We start from the raw sequence: 21,790 nt of genomic DNA on the forward strand, positions 1-21,790 counted from the left end.
TTTTGGAGGCTGCTGGTATAGAATGAATGTATTTTGCATGCAAGAAGGACAAGAATTTTGCAGGATCAGCAGTAGAATGTTATGGGCTGAATGGTTTTGTTCCCCAAAATTCACATGTTAAAGCACTAACCCATAATGTGATAGTATTCAGAGGTGGGGCCTATGGGAGGTAATTAGGTTTAGATGATGTCATGAAGGATTGTTCTTCTAAGAAAAGGAAAAGAAAGCAGAGCTCTCTCTTTGTTTCTGCCATGTGAAGACACAGTGAGAGGACTGTTGTCTGCAAGCCATGAAGAAGATCCTCACCCAGAACAGAACCTACTGGTCTCCAGGACTTTGAGAAATTAAGATCTGTGGTTTAAACCACCCAATCTGTGATATTTTGTTATAGCAGTATAAGCAGACTAATACAGAAACCCTGTAGCTTATCTTGTGCTTTTTGAACGCTTGCTCTAGGAGAAGTTGGCTGCCATGTCAAAAGTTCAAATACTCGATATTACTGTGCTGTGAGAAAGCTCCAGACAGCCAGGAGGAGAAGCTGTATGGCTGGAGAGAGAGGTGCCAATCCATTTCCAGCTCTTTCAGCCTTCCAAGCTGAGGTGCCAGACAGGTGACTAAAGATGCCATCTTGGACACCTAATACATAAAAATATTCATGTAACTCCAGCCATCTGACTACATGGCAGGAAAGAACAAGTAAAAATACCTAAATGAATTCAATCAATCCACAAAACTGTAAGAGATAGTAATACGTTGTTGTTATATGCCACTAAATGTTAGGATGTCATGTAACTCAGCAATAGATAACTGGAATGTTATAAACAGGGGTGGAAAAGATATTTGCCATGTATCTCACCAGTGAATTATCCTTAAGCACATATAACCATCCTGGGTATTATGAACGCCATCTCACCCTACAACACAAAAAGGTAAGACTCTTGCTGAAAGTGTACAGCCAATAATGCCCAGGGTATGGTTGGAATCCAGCAGTGCTGACCTCATAGCCCAAGTACCTTCTGTTTTCCTTCTCTAGTCTTCTGTTAATAATGAAGCTGTGACTGGGGCCAGCGTGTTTAAAAAGGGTTGACTTCTCAAATCTGTAAAAGACCGATCGAACTCCCCACTTTGTCTTGCATTCTTTACCTCCCTGCAAAATGTTTCCTATAGAAATCCTTTCACCAAAAGCCTAGGCAGTCAATCAAAAAAGCTTTGGAAGAAAAGCAAAAATAGATGGTGAATTGTCTATGAATTCTAATCACTGCAAACATTTGAGAAAGAGGGACTGTGGATTCTGTGAAAAAAACTGGTATACAATTATATCATGTTTCTTACAAAAAAAAATGAACATACAAAATCCAAGTTGTTCTTTATGCTTTTAGCATAGTTGATGGAGCTAAGATGGCTGTGCGGGCTATAGTGGGTCATCTGTTTCTGCATTCTCTGCACCGGCCTTCATGGCTGGAATGTTCATTTTCCTTCATCTTCCCCACAGCTCATGACTCCCCCAAGACTTGGAATCATGTGTTCCCCTCTCAGCCAGGAAACCACACTCCAGCCTTGCTGCACCCACTTCCTACCTACTCTCGGGACTTCTCTCTGCCATCTTCCCAGCTCTGCACACCATCATGGGCTGTCTTCAAGTACAGCGCCATTGTCATCTATCAGCCCTTCCATCATTGTGCTTGGCTGCCCACAGCACTAAGCCTCTTAGGGGCTCAGACAGTACATGCTATATACTATTTCAGAGAGACTAGAAATCAGGAAAAGGAACACCGTGAAGCCAGAGTGTATAAAGTGGAATGAAGGACATACTCAGTAAGCATACCAAAATCAAGGAAGACAGTCAGTGGAGGATGCAGCTGTGACTGTGGCAGCTCCCTTTTGCTAAGCTCTGATTGTGTGGAAGGCTCAGTACGTGCAGAGCCATATCCTTCCTTTTTCCACTTTCCCTCTCTTAGGCTCTCCATTAAAATGGAAAGAGTTGTCAATGAAGGGAGCAGCATAGCCCGAGGAGATGGAGTTACTCCGTTTTACAGATTGAGAAACTGAGGCTGAATGGCATATGCCCAAGTGCATAGAGCAAGGAAGTAGCATAACTGGGCTGGATCAATAAACCCACTCCTTTTTCCCTAGGTTTAAGAACCCACCAGGAGGCCCACTCCCCAGGCAAATCATGCCTATTCCCATGGTGTGTGACTACAGATAATTTCTACTTTTTGGTAAAAACACACTGGGAAGGCCAGCTGCAGTGGCTCATGCCTGTAATCCCAGCAGTTTGGGAGGCTGAGGCAGGAGGATCACATGAGCTCAGGAGTTCAAGACCAGCCTGGGCAATATGGCGAAACGTGTAAAAAAAAATTAGCTGGGTGTGGTGGCAGGTGCCTGTAGTCCCAGCTACTGAGAAGCTGAGACTTGAGGATCGTTTGAGCCTGGGGGATCGAGGCTGCAGTGAGCCAAAATAGCGCCACGGTACTCCAGCCTGGGTGACAAAGTGAGACCCTGTCTCAAAAACAAAACAACACAAAACAAACAAACAAAAAGCCACCACAATGGGATATTTTGGATATTTTGGAACATAGTTAGTTAAAGCAAACTATAATTAAATGTTTACATGTTACTGTTGTATAAACAAGTGAAATATCAGGTTTTTAAAACTTTTCTTTGGTGAAGAAGTTGAACAACGGCCATCCACTTTTCTGGTGGTCTAGAAATACCAATTTGCTTTGTTGATGTTGCTCTGTGCAGGCAGGAGAAGGGGTCACACATACACAGTCATCCCTGGGGGTCTGCAGATGGGGGCTTCTTCCTTTTTTGAGCATCACATGTTTCTGACATTGTTGAACGGATGATTAAACTCAGTTAATAATCTCCATTGGGTGTTTTTCTTTCCTGTTATTGCAAAGTTCCAAACCCATATGGTAAAGCATATTTCGTAAGCTAGGATTGTAGATCATGATTTTTTTTGTAAAAAATTGGGAGAAACAGGAAGCTGTTGCATGTGAGAGAACAAGACTTAAAATCAAGTTTTTCCTCCTCCAAGCTAGTTTGAGTTGGGGCAAGCAAGAACTTTCTGAGCCTCAGTTTCCTCACTATAAAATGGGGATAATAACAATTATTTTGAAGAATGATTGTGGAGGATAATCACAATACATGGAACACTTCACTTATACACTCAAAAATCAATAGTTGTGATTATGAAAAGATATATTGTGCTTCTATGATTGTGCATGATTAAACATTTTACCTTTTATTGTATATTTGCTATTCAAAAACCCTTTAATAGATGTGTATTTATACAGAACCAATATTGATATGTGCATAAATATTAACATACAATTTTATCACATGTAATTAATAATAATCTATAAGCATTTTGCAAAATTTTTTTTTCAGATGAGGAATCTGAGTCTCAAAGAAATTTAGAGATCCTTCAAAGTTCCTGGACCCAGATTAGACCTCTACTCCCACTGCGTGGTTAGGGGACACCAGCTGTCCTCTGCTCATCCCTTCCTGCAAAATCTTCAAGGCTGGCTCCTTACTGCCTGTACAGAGGATGATGCCCAACGTCTATCTGTAATTAGAAGAAGACATCCATAAAGAGTTTCTGAGCCCCAAATGGATTTGACACAGTGGCCTTTTAAATCAAACTCTTACTACGATTATCTTCATTTCTATTTAGTAGTTTTTCTAAGTAAGCCATGCTTTTAGAGGCACCTAATGCAAAGTGACAACCTTCACCATTTTCCAAAGCGCCGATGGACGGGCGTAGAGAGAGTCCATTGTCACCATGGTAATTACTGCACAATACCTGACGGCCAATGGACGGTCAGGAGGCTCAGGCAGCCGCTGAATCCGGCATTGTCCAGGCCTGATAAAAAGACTAGAGGCCTTGAAAAGCCGGGGAGCAGGATCTCACAGCTCTTTCCCTGAGCCCTGAAAGGCCCATTGTGCTGCCACCATAAATTCTGGGTTCCCCGGGCACTTGACAACTGAAGCCAGGGACAATAGAATTCTTGTGTCCAACAAAACACGCCTTGTCCAATGCCGGTCTTATCAGCCGCATTTACAAATGTCTTTCGTTGTACCCAAATAATTCCCTATTAGAAGGGCTATTGGGAGCAGAACTAAATAAATATTCACGGCCTTTGTCATATCTTTGGGAAATGAATAAACAAACAGTCATCTAGCATATGAGCAAACCTCCTACTACTCACTACATTTTATCTGTATTTCTTGCCCAAATTATGTAGCTTCACTTTCTCCTTTCAACATATTAACAACTGAGGTACTAGAAGCTCCAGTTTTACGTGCCATCTACTACACGCCATCGGTATTATTGCGTTGGTGCTTCTACATGTGTTTTGTAAAAATTACTCTTCCCCACAACACTAGAAATTTTATTTCTGCCTCATGAAAGAGGAAGAAATTAGAACCTAGAGAAGTTAAACAACTTGCCCAAGATAACCAAGCTAATTAGTGGCAGAGTGGGAATTCCAATCTAGATTTCCCTTGCTCCAAAGACTCTTCCCCTCCCACTCAGCAATGATGATTTTGCTACCAAATAAAGAAGAATAAAAGTTAGAATAAGGGGAAATATCTAAGCACACCCACTATAAAATTTGCATATATATATATATATAGAGAGAGAGAGAGAGAGACTATATTATTAACAACTTGAGAACAGCTAGAATAGAAGGAAAATGAAAAGACTTTCTCCAGGAGAGTATATTTTATTTTTGCCTAAAATGCTAGCAATTTTACTTTTTAAACTTTTTTTTAGGGTGGAGGTGAGAAGCAGACAAAAATAAGTACAAGCATGCTGCAGGAAAGTTTTAAGGATGCCCATATGGTCAGTATGTAAAGTTTTCTAAAGAACTACTAGGGTGAACAAAGCAACCAGCATGCACACAATCACATATGCTCCAGAATAACTTTAACCTCTTCTTCTGTAGCTGATTTTATTTTACTTATTTGTCTCCTTGTCATGTATAAATATCTAAACATTTGAATATAATGCACATGATCAAACAGAAATCCCCTTTTCAACAGAAGCCATCAACTAGAAGAATGGTGATTTTTACATTAAAAAAAAAACTTGACAATATTAAAATTCTAAATGGTTTCCCGTCAGGTCAGGAGATGCCCACATTCCACATTTATTAACACAGCTTATGCATCTGACTCCTGTCTGTCCCCAGCCTCACCTGCCCACCTTACCTCCTGCTTCAGTAAGTACTGCTGTTCCTGAGCCTGGCAGGCTGTGCACCTCTGTGCTTCTCTGCATCTGACCTCTTCTTCCATTTACTGTTAGTGTGACTTTGATGGAAATTCTCCTCAGTACCTAGCATAAACTCAGAGGGCCTCAGGATTCCCTTAGTGTAACATAGTGCTTTTTTATTTCTCCCACAATTAGAGATCTTTGTTATTTGTGGCTATTTGGTCCTCCCAACTTTCCATCAAGGAAGCTGTGAGCTATTTGAGGACAGAAATCACATATTATTCTCATTTTTGTTTGTCCCAGGTCAGTACACTGCTAACACTCCACAGAGCTAGACTATTGGAGAAATAAATGAACGGTAGTAATTAGACAAAGAATGGCCACAAAATTATATAATTTTTTAATTTAAAAGATTGAAAATACCTATTGACTTTTATCTACTTGATGTCAAATGACAGGTATAATTTGTAATTTGTTTTCAAGGACTGTAATAATGTACTCATTTGGCACAAATTATTCAGCTTTGATAAATGCAACGTGGCATTATTTGGTTTGTTTTCTATAATATTTAAATATTTAAAATCAGTAAAGTAGGTTATCATTTTGCAAATAATCGGCTATTAACAATAAAATACCAACAGGTATTTTCTGACTGGCATTAAATGCCTGTGTTTGTGCAAGTATTAAGTTTGAAAAAGTGTGGTCAATATTTTCTAAATACTTCACATGCCAAATGAAGCATTTAATCATCTTTGGGGATTTAAGGCATGAATGCCATCATGTACATATGATGCTAACTCTCAGCATTTCTCTATCCCCCAGGAGCTGAATGTTCCGCAGACACAACTTAATCCAAACAGGCAATTATGATGGCTAAAATTTATTGAGAATTTCCAATGGACCAGGTCCTGGGCTAAGTACCTTTCTACAACACACAATTTCATCTTATGACAATCTTATAAGTCAGGTTCTGTGGTTTTTCTTCATTTCACAACTAGGAAATTGGAGCACAAAAAGACGGAGTAAAGTTGCCCTCAATCACAAAGCCACTCACCAGTGAAGCCAAGACTCGGACACAGGCAGTTTGCATCTATAGCAATTCACCCAACAGCTGTACTCTACTCCATTCTTTGGCTATAAAATAGGGCACTAAATTAGGAAAGTAGTCCAATGATTTAAAAGAAACATGACTAAGGACTGCATCACTTTACCAGGCTACCTAACTATCCAGGAAAAGCAGAAACCAACTACGAAGGAGAACCCATGCATGTAATAAAGAAAAACAAAGACCTTTAACCAGACACAAGGCCTGAGACAGTCTCTTACATTTTACCAAATCTGGGCAACTTCCAGACAACCAAGAAATCCGCTTATTTGCAAGTTTCTGGAGTATGCAAATCTCCATATTCACAAAGTCAGAGAAGTACTGCAAACACACACACACACAGAGACACACACACTGCAGTGTTTGTTGTATGCCAAAATAGTCACAGCCTCCCGCTATCTTTCCATAGTAAGAAAAGTAAACTGCATAGTCCATAGCAATACAACTGATTTATGATATAATAGGAGAGAGTTCCCTCTGGGGCCATTATACTCAGAAAGAAACAAAATCAGGTTTCTCAAAATTAAGTGGGACTATCCTTTTGCAATATAAAATTAGGTTAAGAAAAAAATGCCATTTTGTTATTTGCCTTTTCCTAGGCACTTACTCTGAAGACACAAGCTGTACAAACTCTGCTTGTCTATAAACTCCACAGGGATAAGAAGCATATATGTTTCCTTGTCCACTTTATAATCAGGTAGACAAAGGCACAAACTAAATGCTTCAAAAGAGCTTTCAAACCAATGACTTAGTAAATAAAAATCTGAGCCCTGGACATAGTGGTCTCACCTATTTACAAGTGCTTCTGAAGGGCTGCAGTAAGTGGAGACTGATTTTCTTCAGGCACAAATTTGAATTTGGCCACAGAGGGGCTGACGTGAGCCAGGGAGAGAGTCTAGCGGGTGCTCTACATCCTCATCACACCTCATTAAATACACTGGATTCACCCAGGGTCGGCAGGGGAATCAGGCCATTAAAATGTTTCAGTTTCGCGTTTGCTGGACTTTATTGGTGGAAGAACATTCTTCACTGCTATGCACAAATTGTGACATTCTTGAAGAATGCGAAAAATCATTTGTCAATATTGAGAATCTAATATTTTCATAGGAAGCTTTATGTAGGCTATTCTACCTCGATTTGTGAGTCACATGTGTGTGTGCTTTAGATGTAAATGTGACTGCACACACACACACAAACACAAAACACATATTCTCAAGGATGTTTTTTTCTTTTCATTTTTTAAATACTCTTTGGATGGTTACTTTTACTAACTCCATTGTTAAGAACTGAAAATAAAGAGAAAAAACAAACAAACGAACAAAAAAAGCACTGTCAACAGCTATGTGGAGCTGGGTCATCTTACCAGACTGTGCTTGGATCATGAGTGTGGAAATGACAGAAAAATGGCCCTGTTTGTCTGCAAATCAGTGGATCAGAGGTTTCAGGAGGACTTCTTCTACAATATTCATATTCTCTATCATATGGCTTCCATCAAGAAAATGAGGCTGGATACCTACACTTGATCTTAGCCAAAAGGCCAAGAAGCAAGGAGGTTGTCTTTCTAAACAGGCTTTTAAAATGACTCCTTGGCTTTGATATCTGCAAATGTTCTACATACAGAGATATAAAGATATATAATAGTATCTATATGTGTGTCAGTACACACACACACATGCATGTGTATGTTATTCATAACTTGATCATTTATATTTGTAAACATTTCAGTCACATTCCTTATCCAGTAAGTAAATGAATTTTGGCATTGGGTACCAGGGTGGATTTGATGGGCAGTAAGATTGTTTCCTACTTTGAAATGACAGAACTTTGTAATTGGAATAATCAGTTCCCCTGGCTAAAAGCATCCCACCTCCCTTTATGAGTGTTCCAACCACACTTCAGGAAACACAGAGCTAAGAGCTGATACTTCTCTAGTATTCAACATGTGTTGGGGATTTCATGGGCCAAACCCAATACCATGATGTGGCCATCTTCAAGAGGACACTGCATGTGCAGAAGACCTTGGCGGCCAGGGAGGGGTCACCTTTGGCTCTCAGGGTGATGTGTAGGCACAGCCAGGTTTCAGAGTCAAGATGGTCCTCAGAGAAGGCCCAGAGGACCTTATCTAGGAGCCAAACCAAAGGGGCATGTCCCCCAGCAAGCCAAGGGGCCAATTTGTGGAATTAGAAAGACTTTGGCATAAGATGCAGCTGCAAGCTGATTCCTGTTTGGGCCTCCATGACTCTTCAGTTCTGTGGCTTAGGACTCTGTTTCCTTACCTGTAAAATGAGCAACATAACACCTCACATTCCTGTGGCGAGCACAGAGGTGATAATATGTGCACATCACGCTATTGTTTCTGACACAAATTTACTGTTCAGTAAATATAAGTCAATACCATCAGGGTTCTGTTACAAAGACTCAACATAAAGAAATTAATGCAATACCTGACACAACAGGGGCCCCACCAATTGCCAGATTACTGGCCTTCAGAGACAATAAATGGGGGAAATGGAGACATACCTTTTCAATTCTTTCTCAGTCCTGATGTCAGCAAAGAGAAAGTCTCTGTTTGCAGTGATTCCTAAACAAACCTTTTTTTAACAAAGACAAGGCAGTCTCAGGCTCAGAGAGGATTCAATTATGTTGTTTCCTTTTAATTGTATCTGTTTTTTGACTGCCTCATATTTATGACAAGAGATACTGGCTTTCCAGAAATTAGAGCAATATAATTTTCTTCAAAAATATTTTTTTAAATAGCAGAAAGTAGAAGGAGTCAAAAGAAAATATTAAGTAAATAACAATGTGATTGTATCCAGATATTAGGGAAGACAAAACCTGAATGACTGAGAGGTGAGGAACACGGATCCATGGCACCACAATTATTTTATGGACAGGGAGACGGAGGCCCAACGGGGACATGGGTGAGGAGCGGTGCCTACAGCATCTAAACCGCCCCAGACCCTGCCTCCAGCATCCCAGGGTCTCTGCACCGCATTTTCATTAATATCACGGGTCAGGTCAGCTATGCGAGGGGACTGCAAGAAATGATCACAGTTCTCTTCCAAGGACAGAGAAGGAATTACAGGGAGAGACAAATGCCAGTTCCGACATGGTGGTGGAGGAGGGAGCAGAGTCTAAAGCCCTACAGGAAAGTAGGTCTTCACAAAGAAACTAGGTTGAAGACTCACCCGGCCCACTCTCCACCTCATGCCCCTCCCTGTGACGCATGCCGTGCATTTTACCAATATCCTGTTTTATTCCAAAGGGAATTTCAGGCCGCCTACAAAGGTGCATACAGTACAAACACATATAAGACTATTTTGAATACTAAATATGTGAAAAGGAGAAAGAACAGCATGAAATAATTTGAATGAAGGTCATATGCAAAGCTTGGGCTAAAGTCATATTAGTTGCAAGGGCTGCTTCACGAAAGGGACGGGGACACACGACCTGGCACAGGACCGCAGGACCCATGAAGATAAAACTGCTGCTGAGCTGTATTGCAGCCATTCTGGGTACTGATGCCAGCATACTATTTATCCCATTGGTTCCCACAGAGACAACCCTGTGCAAGACACAAAGCAACAATCTTAAACATAGTGGAAAGATAATTATTGGGCTGCTTAGAACAGCATCACTGGCCCACAGAGGTGAAGGAAGGAGATAGAGGAAGATACTCAACAGCATCTTTCTGCCAGAAGGACCTGAGAGCAAGCCCCTCTTTCACACAGCTGCTACAGGCACACCCTAAACCAGGGGCCTGCTCATGCCACTCTCAGTTGCAAAGCCCTCAAGGTCTCCTTGGATTGGTCTCCTCTACTTTTAACAATAGCCAAGCCTGCTATGTTCCAGATACTGTGCTAAAGTGGATTGTTGCATAGATAACCCCTATTTGAAAGTGGAGAAATCTAAGATGGAGAGGGTGAGTTACTGATGCCACCTGCCTTGCTTGTAGGGATTCACATCCATGCAGTCTGACGCCAGAGCGTCCTCTCTTAAGCACCACTCCATTCTGCCCTCAGGGAAAGCCCTTCATTAGTGAGCCTCACTGGTCTTCAGCTTCACCTGGGGAAGCTCCTTCTAGGAACCCATTGCTTTGCCTCAACTTACCATATTGTTTCACTCTGCCTCCTTCATTCCTACTTTTGCCTCTGAACTGAATATCTCTTCCTCTTCCTTTTTCACAAACTTATCCTTGTCTTTTAAGGTCTTGGCCAAATATCACCTCCTGACAGTCCACCTTCCCAACTACACACACGCACAAAGCTTACACTGTGGCATCATCTCCGCCAACCACTGTGATTGGTGGAGATAATGACACAGTGTAATTCTGTGAGCAGATGTTTCTTGAGCATCTATTATGTGCCAGGCATCAGTCAAATCCCTGGATACCAAACAGGTAAGATTGCTCTTTTTACAGAGTGTTCAGCCTCTGGTAGAGTTAAAAAGTAAACAGAAAAATTAGCAGCAAAGAATTAGACAGGGATAACTTACACAAAGAAAATTTTAAAACGTTAATAAAACAGAGAGGGGATCATATCTTCTTAGGACCTCTTTAAAGCAATACACATGTGGCCAGCACATAGCTGATGCTCAGTAACTATTTGATGAAATGAGAGGCAACAACTATGACTTACAACCACCTTTATCAGTCATTCTGTTCTTATGTGTTTGAACATTTTGTTGTTTTAAGAAACCATTTTCCCAACTGTCTGCCTGCTCCTCCAGTCCCTGTGAGGTTATGAAAAGCAGAAACTCTGTCATCTGCATCGTGTTTATAGCTCCTACAGTACCTACTTCAGAATCATCTGCATTTGCTGCAAACCATAAACACAGAGACCTGGACTTAAAGTTTGACATCAGAGACATCACAAATCACAGGATGTAAGAGCCAAATGAAAAGTCAGCAGTGATCTAATCTAGTGATTTTACTAACTGTTCTTGGCAAACAGTGGTATTCCTGGGGTATCCCAAAGGCTGTTGCAGGGGCTGTGGTGTGGTGGGGAGAGCTGGAGGGAGGCTTCTGCAGATTCCTACAACTTTCTCCTTTCTTCTATTTAATCCACAGAAGCTCTACTTTATCCATTCTATATGTTTTAGAGGTTAGGGTAAGAATTTTCCTTACCAAAACCTGCATGAAATACAAAGAGTCAACAGGAAAAAAAAAAAAAGAGAAACGACGAATCCAGGAGTTAAATGAATCCTTTGAATTTTTACAGAACCTCATTCTGAACAGATGTATATGTTTAGATATGGGCAGATGCATACAACCACAGACAGATGACAAGGCATAGATAGAACACATACACAATGTAAGTAGAGCACACATTTGGCAGTGGGGGTACAAGAGTGTGAAAGAAAGAGGTATTAAAATAGTAGCGAAGTATGCTTTCGAGGGAAGCAGAAGTCTTTCTAGCCCCACCATTCTCTCAAGAATTTTCTCTTCTTTGTTGCTCATTCATTCATTCATTGTTTTTCCTTTGAAATTGTGCTCATTGATTTATTGTTTTGTCTTCTTTATTGCTCATTCATTCATTCTTTTTACTTTGAAATGGAGCTCATTCATTGTTTTTACTTTTTAAATAATTGTATATCAAGTATTTCTATGCACACTGACACATAGAATTGGGACCTATGTAAAGGTGAGACAGAGAAAGAGAAGGAGGGAGGGAAGAAGGGAGAAGAGAAGAAGAAGGGAAGAAAGGGAGGAAGGGAGGGAGGAAGAAAGGAAGGGAGGGAAGGGAGGGAGAGAGAGAGGAAGGAAAGAAGGAAGGATGAAGGGAGAGAGAAAGGAACAGAGGGAGGATGAATTGGAGAAAGGGAGGGAGAAAGGAAGGGAGGAAGGGAGGGAGAGAGGAAGGAAGGAAGAAAGGAAGGGAAGGAGGGAGGGAGGGAGAAATGAACGGAGGGAGGGAGGAAGGAAGGGAGGGAGGAAGGAACCAAGGAAGGGAGGGAGGGAAGAAGGGAGGGAGAGAGAGAAGAGGGAAAGCAGGGAGGGAGGGAAGAAGGGAGGAAGGGAGGGAGGGGGCAGGGAGAGAAGGAGAGAGAGAAGAAAGAAAGGCGGGAAGGAGGGATGAAAGGAGGGAGGGAGGGGGCAGGGAGAGAGGGAGAGACAAAGGAAGAGAGAAAAAAGGAAAGGAAGAAAGGAAGGAAATGAGAGAAGAAGGGAAAGAGGAAGGGAAAGAGGGAAGGAGGGAGGAAGGGAAACTGCAAGATAAAGTAATCAGGTGAGTGAGGGGCCTGAAATGCCCTGTCTTTCCTCTCTTCTTCAGCACACAAGGAGGCAGTGTCTTAAACAAAGTAATCACAGGGTTCCAGAGGAGGCAGGTGGGTGAGAAGAATGAAGGGAGCTCCCGAAATAAGATATGACTACAGAAAAAAAAAAAAAAAAAAAAAAAAAAGAGGGAGAGAGATGATGACATGATTGGATCTATGAGACTGTCTATTTTTAGTGGCCTAAAGAAGACTCTCTCCCGTGACCTTGCCAAATTATGATGCAAACACAGTTAATGAAAGCTCTCTCAAGCTTCTCTTCGAAGTCAGCTCATTACCAGATCATTTCTGCACACTCATCGCCCAAAACCCTGTAACCTCATTAAAGAACTAATCCTAACAGGTTTGACCTGAAAGTTAGCAGATGGATTTACTTGAACAGTTTTCTGCTTTTCTAGTGGTTTTTCCCGAAGAAACATTAAAGACCAGGTTAGCACTTCTAAGCCATTCGCTTTAATTTCTTATTGATGTTCTTGTTTTGTCTCTCAGTTAAATGCCACCCATTTTCAGAAATAAGAAAAATGCTCTGAGCAATTAAGAAAGATGCTTGCTTTCAATGTCATCTTAATTATTTAAATTATAAAAAATAGAAAAAGAACAAAAATAATTCTAATATTGACTAATTTGATGTTTCCCTATGCATGTTTTAAGTATTCTCATTTCATTAGGAAAATAGAGCATTAGGCTGACTCCAAACAGAAAAACTCACTTGAAGTAAAGGACCTTGTCGGTATTGCAATTCTTTGCGTAATCTCATTAAGTTTCACCCATATTGCCAACAAGAAACACTCTTTTACATTCCCATAAAGTTACAATTGCCTTGTTGTAATAGGAGAACGTTTAAGTAAAACAGAATACATGCTGTGCATGGAATAGCAGGCTTTCCCCAAAGTCACAATGCTGTGACTTATAAAGAAACATGGGAAAATACTTGGGACTATTTCCACATGGTTCATTATGACGTCAAATCTCGACTCCAATTACAATAATGTAAAAATATTTCTGACTAATTTGAATAGTAGGAGGAAGAAAATAAGGACAATTCGTGAGTCAGAGTGAATGAATTCTGGGTGAATTCTTTCCTCTCTTCTTTATTTCTGATATGATGGTTAAGGTATTGTCTGTTCTGGAAACACTTTTTAATCTTGTAGTCACTTCATGACACATGGAGTACCTCTTTTGCAACATAGACACCTGAGCTGGCCACATCTAAAGTGAGCTTGGGTACAAATACCGATACCTGAGCATCCTCTTTTTTGTACAGCCAGGAAAAACTACTCTGCCCAGAGATGCCCAAAGAACAAGCCAATTTATTCCAAAATAGAAACGGAAAAATAGTTTTACAATACCAAATGACTGAATCATCGAAGTGTCAAATTAAATATTGATACCATCAATTTGAGTCTAAAATACTTTCTTGGGTTAACAGAACCCAGGAAGAAAGGTAAGCAACTACCAATCCCATAGCACAAACCTTAGAAGGTTCTCCCTGGAAGCCCCTTTCATTTCACCCAGTTTATTCCTCCAACACACATCAGTTGACCACCAATTGCACCATAGGACTGTGCTGGGGACCAGGGACACGGTGATGAACAAGATTAGAACCTTGCCCCTCATGAGCTTGCATTGTATCTAATTTTGGCTGCTCTGACCTCAAACCTGGATAGAATTTCCCAGGAGAACTCTTGAGATTTGCCATCTGACTCAGAATAAATTAGCCAATAACCCCATCAGCCTGTAGATCAGAGCTGCTGAGTATAAGTCCAGACCCTGCCACTGTACGATTGTGGCAAATCCCTTTGCACTCAGAGCCTCACTTTCCCCATCTGAACAATCAAGAGGTAAGTAAGTTTAATATCTTAGAAAGCTAGAAGCTCCGTTATTTTATGGGGCAACAAATTCATTTGTCCCCAGGATATTCAGACACCTCACACTAAACCAAAAGCCACGGAACATGGAGAGAACATAGGACACTCCTCATGTCCACAAAAGCAAACACCTATCCAGTAGGAGAGTGAAGGAAGGAATGCAGGGAGCTGGTGACTATAATCTCCATGGGGCAAGTTTTGGAGTCTGACAATCCAGGGTTCAAATCCTGCCTCTACCCTGTAATTGAACGTGTGACTTTGAGTGAATGGCTCGACTCAACTGTACAAGTTTCAGTCTCCACATCTGCAAAGTGGTATCTCTAATGACAAACTCACAGCATTGCCCTGAAGATTAAAGAAGGGGTATACATAAGGCACTTGGCACCACCCCACACATGCCATGGGTGAGCAATAAATTTTACCCAAATTAATGTGAATTAACAGAAATATTATTATGCATTGGAAACCCCTGCTAAGACTGAATCTTGTTCACTTTCCTAGTGCCAGCACCTGGTATAGGTCAGTCACACAGAAGGTGCTCAGTAAATAAATAAATGTTAACTCTGATTAACTCATACTGATTAGAAACTCTGATTGGAAAATAGGTACAAATGAATAACTAAAAATAGGAAAAGGAATTGCTTGTTACTTTATAAACACAATTTGTTCAGGGAGAGTATTTTTCAAAATGCAAGGCAAAATGGTGATGACAAGGTCACAGACTCTGGGAGACGCTGAAAAAAACCAACCTCCCACATGGCTTGTGAGATCAGCAGAGGCAAGAGCCAAATGCATGAGTCATGCCCAGCAATTCTGAGGCAGGGACCAATCAGAGGTATGTGCTGTCCTCGTCACTGTCCGACTGAACTCTTCATTCATTGAACAAACAGTTCAAAAGGTCCTTTGAGGAACTCCCTGGTGCCCTTTGGCAGAAGAGTGGCCACAGAGCTGACACCTCGAGCAGAAAATGTGAGAACCTATGCTCAAGAGAAAGTGGTCCCAGTGGAAAATGAAAGGAGGTCAAGGCAGGGAAACCAGCAAGCCCGTTAACGATTCCATACAATGCCACAGAAGTGTTTTCCAAAAGCAGAGTCCCCACATAGCAACGGAAAATGCCAGCTTAATTTAGGCAGCTGCACAACACACACGCACACACACAAACGCGTGCATACACACATGCATGTATAAATATATGCACATACACCCCCATGCGCAAACTCCAAAAAGGGAGAAACGACTCTAAAATAGCAGAGTCCACTTTGAATCACAGTGAACAAACGGTTATGATCCATTTATGGTGATGAGTAAGGGGTTACGTAGTGGCTCTCTGTAACTAGGTCAGGCACCAATTGGTAGTCAGCTCCACAGACCCAGGAAGATTTAATGAGGAGGGGACCAGACAAAGACAGAAGATGGAAATAGTGCCCCAAGCGCGTGTCCCCAGACACCACAATCTGGCGATGGGATCCAGTCCATGCTATTTCTCTCAAAGATAGACCGGAACAAACTTTTGGAAACTCCTGACATGCGGATCAACAGTCCAGGCCAAGCCGTTGAGCCATGGCTCTGGCAGCAGCAACCAGGCTGGAATAAAAACAAACTCTGAATCAAAGGAAGATCGTGACCCGAGCCGAAAGTACAGAAAGAGCAAAGGCATACAGAGGCGGCAGCTGTTACAGCAGGGACAAGACATAAATAAAACGGCACTGCCAGCCTCAAGCTTGTGTCCACAAAAGCCAATCCCCTTTGCTGGGATCTATGCGCCACCGTTCCCGTCCCTCGTCCCTGCTGGGTAGTAGTAACTGGCACCTGCATTCAGGCTGGCAGATGGAGAGGCCAGGCTTATTGATTCCAGTGCCTACTCACTCCACCATCACGAAGGTCATGGTGCAGCAGCTAGCCGCCGAGGGACTTCCTTGACAGGCAGATTCCAGCCTTGGCAATGCCAGGAGGCACCTTCTCTCTTCAATCTCGGGACACCTCATGTGGGGAGACCAAGGGCCACAGGACCGTGAGAGGGCTCAGCCCAGCTTTGTTCTGGACAGACGGAGAGGCGGCTCCTGATCCCTGGCACTGCCAGCAGCCCTGTGAATGAGCCACTGTGGTAAGACACACACCCACTGCTAATGAGACCCACACAGACACAAGCAAGAAAGACAAGTGCAGTGGTTGCTACAAAACAGGCAGAGAAGAAGCCAAGTCCGGCAGAGGCAGGATCACATTGTGCCCACCAGGCTCATGGTACCCCCAGCCCACGGCAGGGTCCCAATCCAAAAGGGAGGACCTCGAACTATTTGTCTTCCCTTGAACTAACAGCATCTTCTTGTCCAATTTTTTTTTTAAATTGGCAGCCAAAATTTTATGGATATTTTTAAAAAGTAAATGACATCATCTATCTATTACTCTTATTGTTTTAGGGAGCATTTTTAACTTAAAAACCTAAAGGGGTAGATTTTTCAGAATGGAAACACACTTGGCAGTGAAATACTTGTATATTGAAGAAAAGGATGCATGAAATTGCTTTAGAACTTTAAAAACAATTTAAATTTATTTTACACTATTGTATTGTATATTGTAAAGTAGTAAAGAGTGGGCTCTGGGCAAGTTGCCTGATCCAACTTGTTCTAGTCACTAGCTGGATAGCCTTAAACCAGCTACTCAACCTCTGCATACCTCCATCACCTCACTGCTAAAATGGAGATTAGGGTGTGCCTCCCATGTGGGGTTTCCTATAAAAATTAAATAAGTTAATTCATGCAATGCACTCAGCACAGAGCAAGCTCTTAATAAAGGCTACCTACCTTGATCATTATCATCATCATTAGTGTGATCTATGTTGGCCATTTGAACTGACCTTGCAGAATAAATGCTTAGGTTACAATGCTACATTTTTTTGTGTCTAACCACAGTTATTGAAAATCCAATAATATATAAGTATGTGGACCAAAATGGAAACAACTCAATGTAATTTCACTTGCTGAAAATTCAGAATATTTAGAGAAAACAAGAAACCTAGACCCCATAAGCTTCCCCTGCCCTCTCCCCCAAAAATCCAGAAGGGAGAAGACTGCAATTGTCCAGTTCCATTTTTATTTAATTAATTAATTAGTTTATTTTTTTACTTGAGACAGAGTCTCCCTCTTTCACCCAGGCTGGAGTAAAATGGCATGATCTTGGTTCACTACAACCTTTGCCTCTGCATGTGATTCTCATGCCTCAGCCTCCCGAGTAGCTGGGATTACAGGTATGAGCCAACACATCCAGCTAACTTTTTATAATTTTAGTAGAGATGGGGTTTCACCATGTTGGCCAGGCTGGTTTCAAACTCCTGGCCTCAAGTGATCCACCTGCCTTGGCCTCTCGAAGTGCTGGGATGTTATAGGCGTGAGCCACCACACTTGGCCTTCCTTTTTAATATATTGCTTTTGTTGATTACTGCTTTTTTGGGTACCCTCTTAAATTTTGGACCCTGGGCCAGTGACTCACTCATCCCAAACTAGACCTAGCTCTGGGTGGGAGGTAAGTCCTCCTCTTTCTTCAGAGTGTGCTTCTGTCACTGTAATGTACAAGTCACTTGGGGACCTTATTAAAATGCAGACTCTGCTCCAGCAGGTCTGGGAAAAGGGATGAGGTCCAGGTCCTGCCTAACAAGTGCCCAGGTGATGGTGAGGCCACCACTGGTCCACAGACAGCATCAGGAGAAGCAAGGCCTTGCAGAAAGTAGATGCTTGGAGAATGGAGAGGGGAAGCAAACACCTGAGTTTCATTTGGTTGTCTTTTTGATGTCATGGTTGTTTTCAGATAACTTGGAAACTCTTTCATTATTCATGGCTGTTGCTAAAGCTGTGGCTAAGTCCTTGGACCCAGAGGCGGGGAACATTTGTTGTTTTGTTTTGTTCTAAATCAAACAAATAGAATAAAGCAAATACCTATTGACTCCTGGTGACTGCCCTTTGGGGAGTTCATTTAACTTTCATTCCCTTATTCTTTTGAATGGCTACAGAAGCAGGGATAGGAATGCCACAGAGAACAGAGCTGTGCAAAACACCCAGACTCCAAAGGGGACACATTGCTGCTAAAAGTAATAAAACAGTGCCAGCTCGATATACCCAAATTAACTGTCTGTCACTGCCCTTCAGTAAAACTGCAGGAAATAGCAAGAGTTCAGAGTTTTGGATTTAAAAAACTCAGGGTTCACACCCAGCCTCCATCATTTGGTAGCTGTGCAACCCCCCGGCTTAACTTCTCTGAACCTCAGTTTCTCTACATAGAATGTGATCCTAGTAGTGCCTGCCTTATAGGATTGTTGCTATAAGATAATTCATATATATATACACACACACAATATGTGAACAATGGCATGACTTTTTCCAAAGTCCCAAGAAAGCACCCAAGAATTGGAACATTTATGACAAGTTCCTATGGATGTACCCTTGTGTGTAATTTTCCCTATTTCCAAGCCCATATCTTCCCCCAGAATATGTGTGTGTGCACAGAGAGAGACAAACAGACAGACAGAGATAGAGAAGAGGAGGGGAGAGAGAAGAATAATAAATAAAAACAACTTAACTGAAAGAAAAAGAAAGAGTTTGAGTAGTGATAAAGACCCACATTCAAAATAGTATTTTCCTCTTTAACTTGTTCCTAATTATTATACAGAACAATGCAAACATTGTAAAAGAAATATTAAATCATCTTACATCCTTAGGTGGAAGAAATGGTTAATATTCTCTATTAAAGTGTATATACTTGGAAATTACCAAACACACAGGCACACACATGCGCACATACACACACACACTAGTTCCTCCTGCTGTCTCAAATCTTACACTCTCTAGAACATGGCACTGTGTCCTACACATAGTACACCCTGGCAAACATAAGCAGGCTGAATTCATGGAAGGAAAGGCTTGCATGGCTGGTCGTCTGCTCATCAGTCCACCATTTGTGGGTGTGCACTGCCAGCCTGGTCTGTCAGCTAGACTTGGATAGGGAAAAATGGGGGGAAAGTAGGCCTGAAAGGAATGGCTCTCAGTCATGCCTTTAATTGTCACCATGCTGGGGGACAGAATGTCAGACAAGCTTCTTGTCTCTGAAAGAAACAGAGCCACTCAGGCAGAGGATTAGAGGACTCTGCATGTGGCAGTGGCCTTTCAGACAACACTGTCCTAAAGCCCGTTTCCCTGTCTCCAAGTGGGATGAGGGGGCTCTCTTCATCAAATCCTACTTACGGGACCATCTGTGTCCCTGACCATGTAAATAGGCCTCTTGACTCTCACTCAAGCATTGTTGCAAATTGTCCTCTTCTCCACACTAATGCTCAAGGCTGTGGGACACTGCAAAGAACCCTTCTTCCATTAGGGATTTCTCTGTCTAAGCAGGATTTATGATGATCCTTTGGCAAGGATCTTTGAATCACTGGCATTCACAGGACAGCCAAAGCATATTTCAGGAGACTCTATTGCTAACAAGCAATACAGCCCTGAAGATTTATCTCCTCTGATGAAGCAGGCAAATCCTAATGCTCCCAGGATGCCATCCCTAGACAATGTGCTATTGCACAGCCAGCGTAGACAATGTGGTATTGGATACACCAACTCTCTCCCAAATAGCTGTGTGACCTCAGGGAAGTAGTTAAACCTCTCTTACCAAGTTATCTCATCCATAACATATAAATGATTGTGTTTTCTTCTTAGGGCTGTCATCAAGATTAAGATGTTGAATGGAATCAAATGCCTGATTTATCTTACACCTGATTTATGGGCAGAGTCTAATACACAGTACCTATTCTTTTTGAAAAAGGATGTGAGCATGTGTAGGAAGAAGAAGGCAGCACTCACTGACTACCTAGAGCTCTGCCTGTGGGAGGGGCTGTGAGCTGCAGTCCCCGTAGAATGAGATGAGTGCACCTGTGCCTTGAGAGTTTGCCAACAAGCCAGCTCCCTTGAGGTGCAGTAATTGTGTTTCAGCAAGAGGATCCCAAATCCTGCCTCACCACTCCGGCACTTGTTAAACTCAAATTTCATTTGTATCTATTCTAGTCAATTTTCTTTGATTTATCTCCCACAAACTCCTCTTCCAATTCCTGCATCTAAGCTTGAAAGGCATAACTGCCTTTGCTTCTTTGGTTGTTCTTTTCTTTTACAGGGTGATGCCGACAAACCAAAAAAACAAAAACAAAAACAAAAACAAAAAACCTCCCTCCCTCAGGCTCACTGAGCTGCTCCTCCACCAGCAGCATCCATCAATAACCTCATAGATGTCTCATGGCCTGAAGAAAAGGAGACTGGGTGGAGAAAAAGGTGGAAACAAGTGTGGGCTCCCTTTGATCCAGCCCATCCTGGCAGCACATGGTATTTTTTTCAATACTTTAAGTCCTGGGATACACGTGCAGAACATGCAGGTTTCTTACATAGGTATACACGTGCCATGGTGGTTTGCTGCACCCATCAACCTGTCATCTACACTAGGTATTTCGCCTAATCCTATCCCTCCCCTAGCCCCCCACCCCCCGACAAGCCCCAGTGTGTGATGTTCCCCTCCCTGTGTCCATATGTTCTCATTGTTAAACTCCCACTTATGAGTGAGAACATACGGTGCTTGGTTTTCTGTTCCTGTGTTAATTTGCTGAGAATGATGGTTTCCAGCTTAAACCATGTCCCTGCAAGAGACAAGAACTCATCCTTTTTTATGGCTGCCTAGTATTCCATGGTGTATATGTGCCACATTTTCTTAGCACATGGTATTTCTAATCCGAGACACCGAAGCAGGGAGCTTTGATCAACCCCATTTTTCTCAGGGGCAACTGAGGCCCAAGAGACTTAGGTAACTTCCTAAAACCCATTGAGGGCATATCAGGAGTATAAAAGACACCCAGAATGGCCTGACTGGGCATCCCATACACTTTCCACTGCATCTTGTTATTTCCAAGAGAGAAAAAGAAAAATCCTATTAGCTTTCAGTGCTTTTGCAAAGGTCACAAAATAGTAAAGATACCTGCATGTCTAACTTCTGGCTCTGCCATGCTAACATATGAACACCAGAAAATCACTTGATCTCTCTAGATGTCAGTTTCCTTATTGGAGGAAAAAAAAGTGAGTATAAGCATCTTTACTGATGATTACATGTGGATAAAATGAGATAATAGTGCTCTGAGCCTGGCATGAGGTAGAAGCTCCTCAATTGTGTGTAGCTTCTTTTCACAGCTGCGTAAAAACAAATCTTATTGTGAGACACATGTGCAGAAGAGTGAAATTGTGATGTAAAGAGAATAACTAATAACCATGGAGATGAGTGTATTGCCTAGTCTAACTATAAATGTGAACT

The 21,790-nt window shown here is 41.9% G+C and overlaps 1 protein-coding gene across 4 annotated transcripts in view, besides 1 other annotated feature; it reads right to left on the reverse strand.

Moving 5' to 3' along the window:
• The window catches only part of CDH11 (cadherin 11), a 179,992-nt gene that overhangs the window by 111,963 nt on the left and 46,239 nt on the right, over positions 1-21,790 (reverse strand). The window lies entirely within an intron of this gene.
• Positions 15,955-16,873: an enhancer, noted in NCBI's record as "H3K27ac-H3K4me1 hESC enhancer chr16:65105573-65106491 (GRCh37/hg19 assembly coordinates)". NCBI's record gives its function as "activates a minimal SCP1, AML or CMV promoter by ChIP-STARR-seq in naive H9 embryonic stem cells {active_cell/tissue: H9 hESC(naive)}" and the evidence as "EXISTENCE:reporter gene assay evidence [ECO:0000049][PMID:30033119]".

Source organism: Homo sapiens, chromosome 16 (genome assembly GCF_000001405.40).
Source record: "Homo sapiens chromosome 16, GRCh38.p14 Primary Assembly".
NCBI classification, from domain to species: Eukaryota; Metazoa; Chordata; class Mammalia; order Primates; family Hominidae; genus Homo; species Homo sapiens.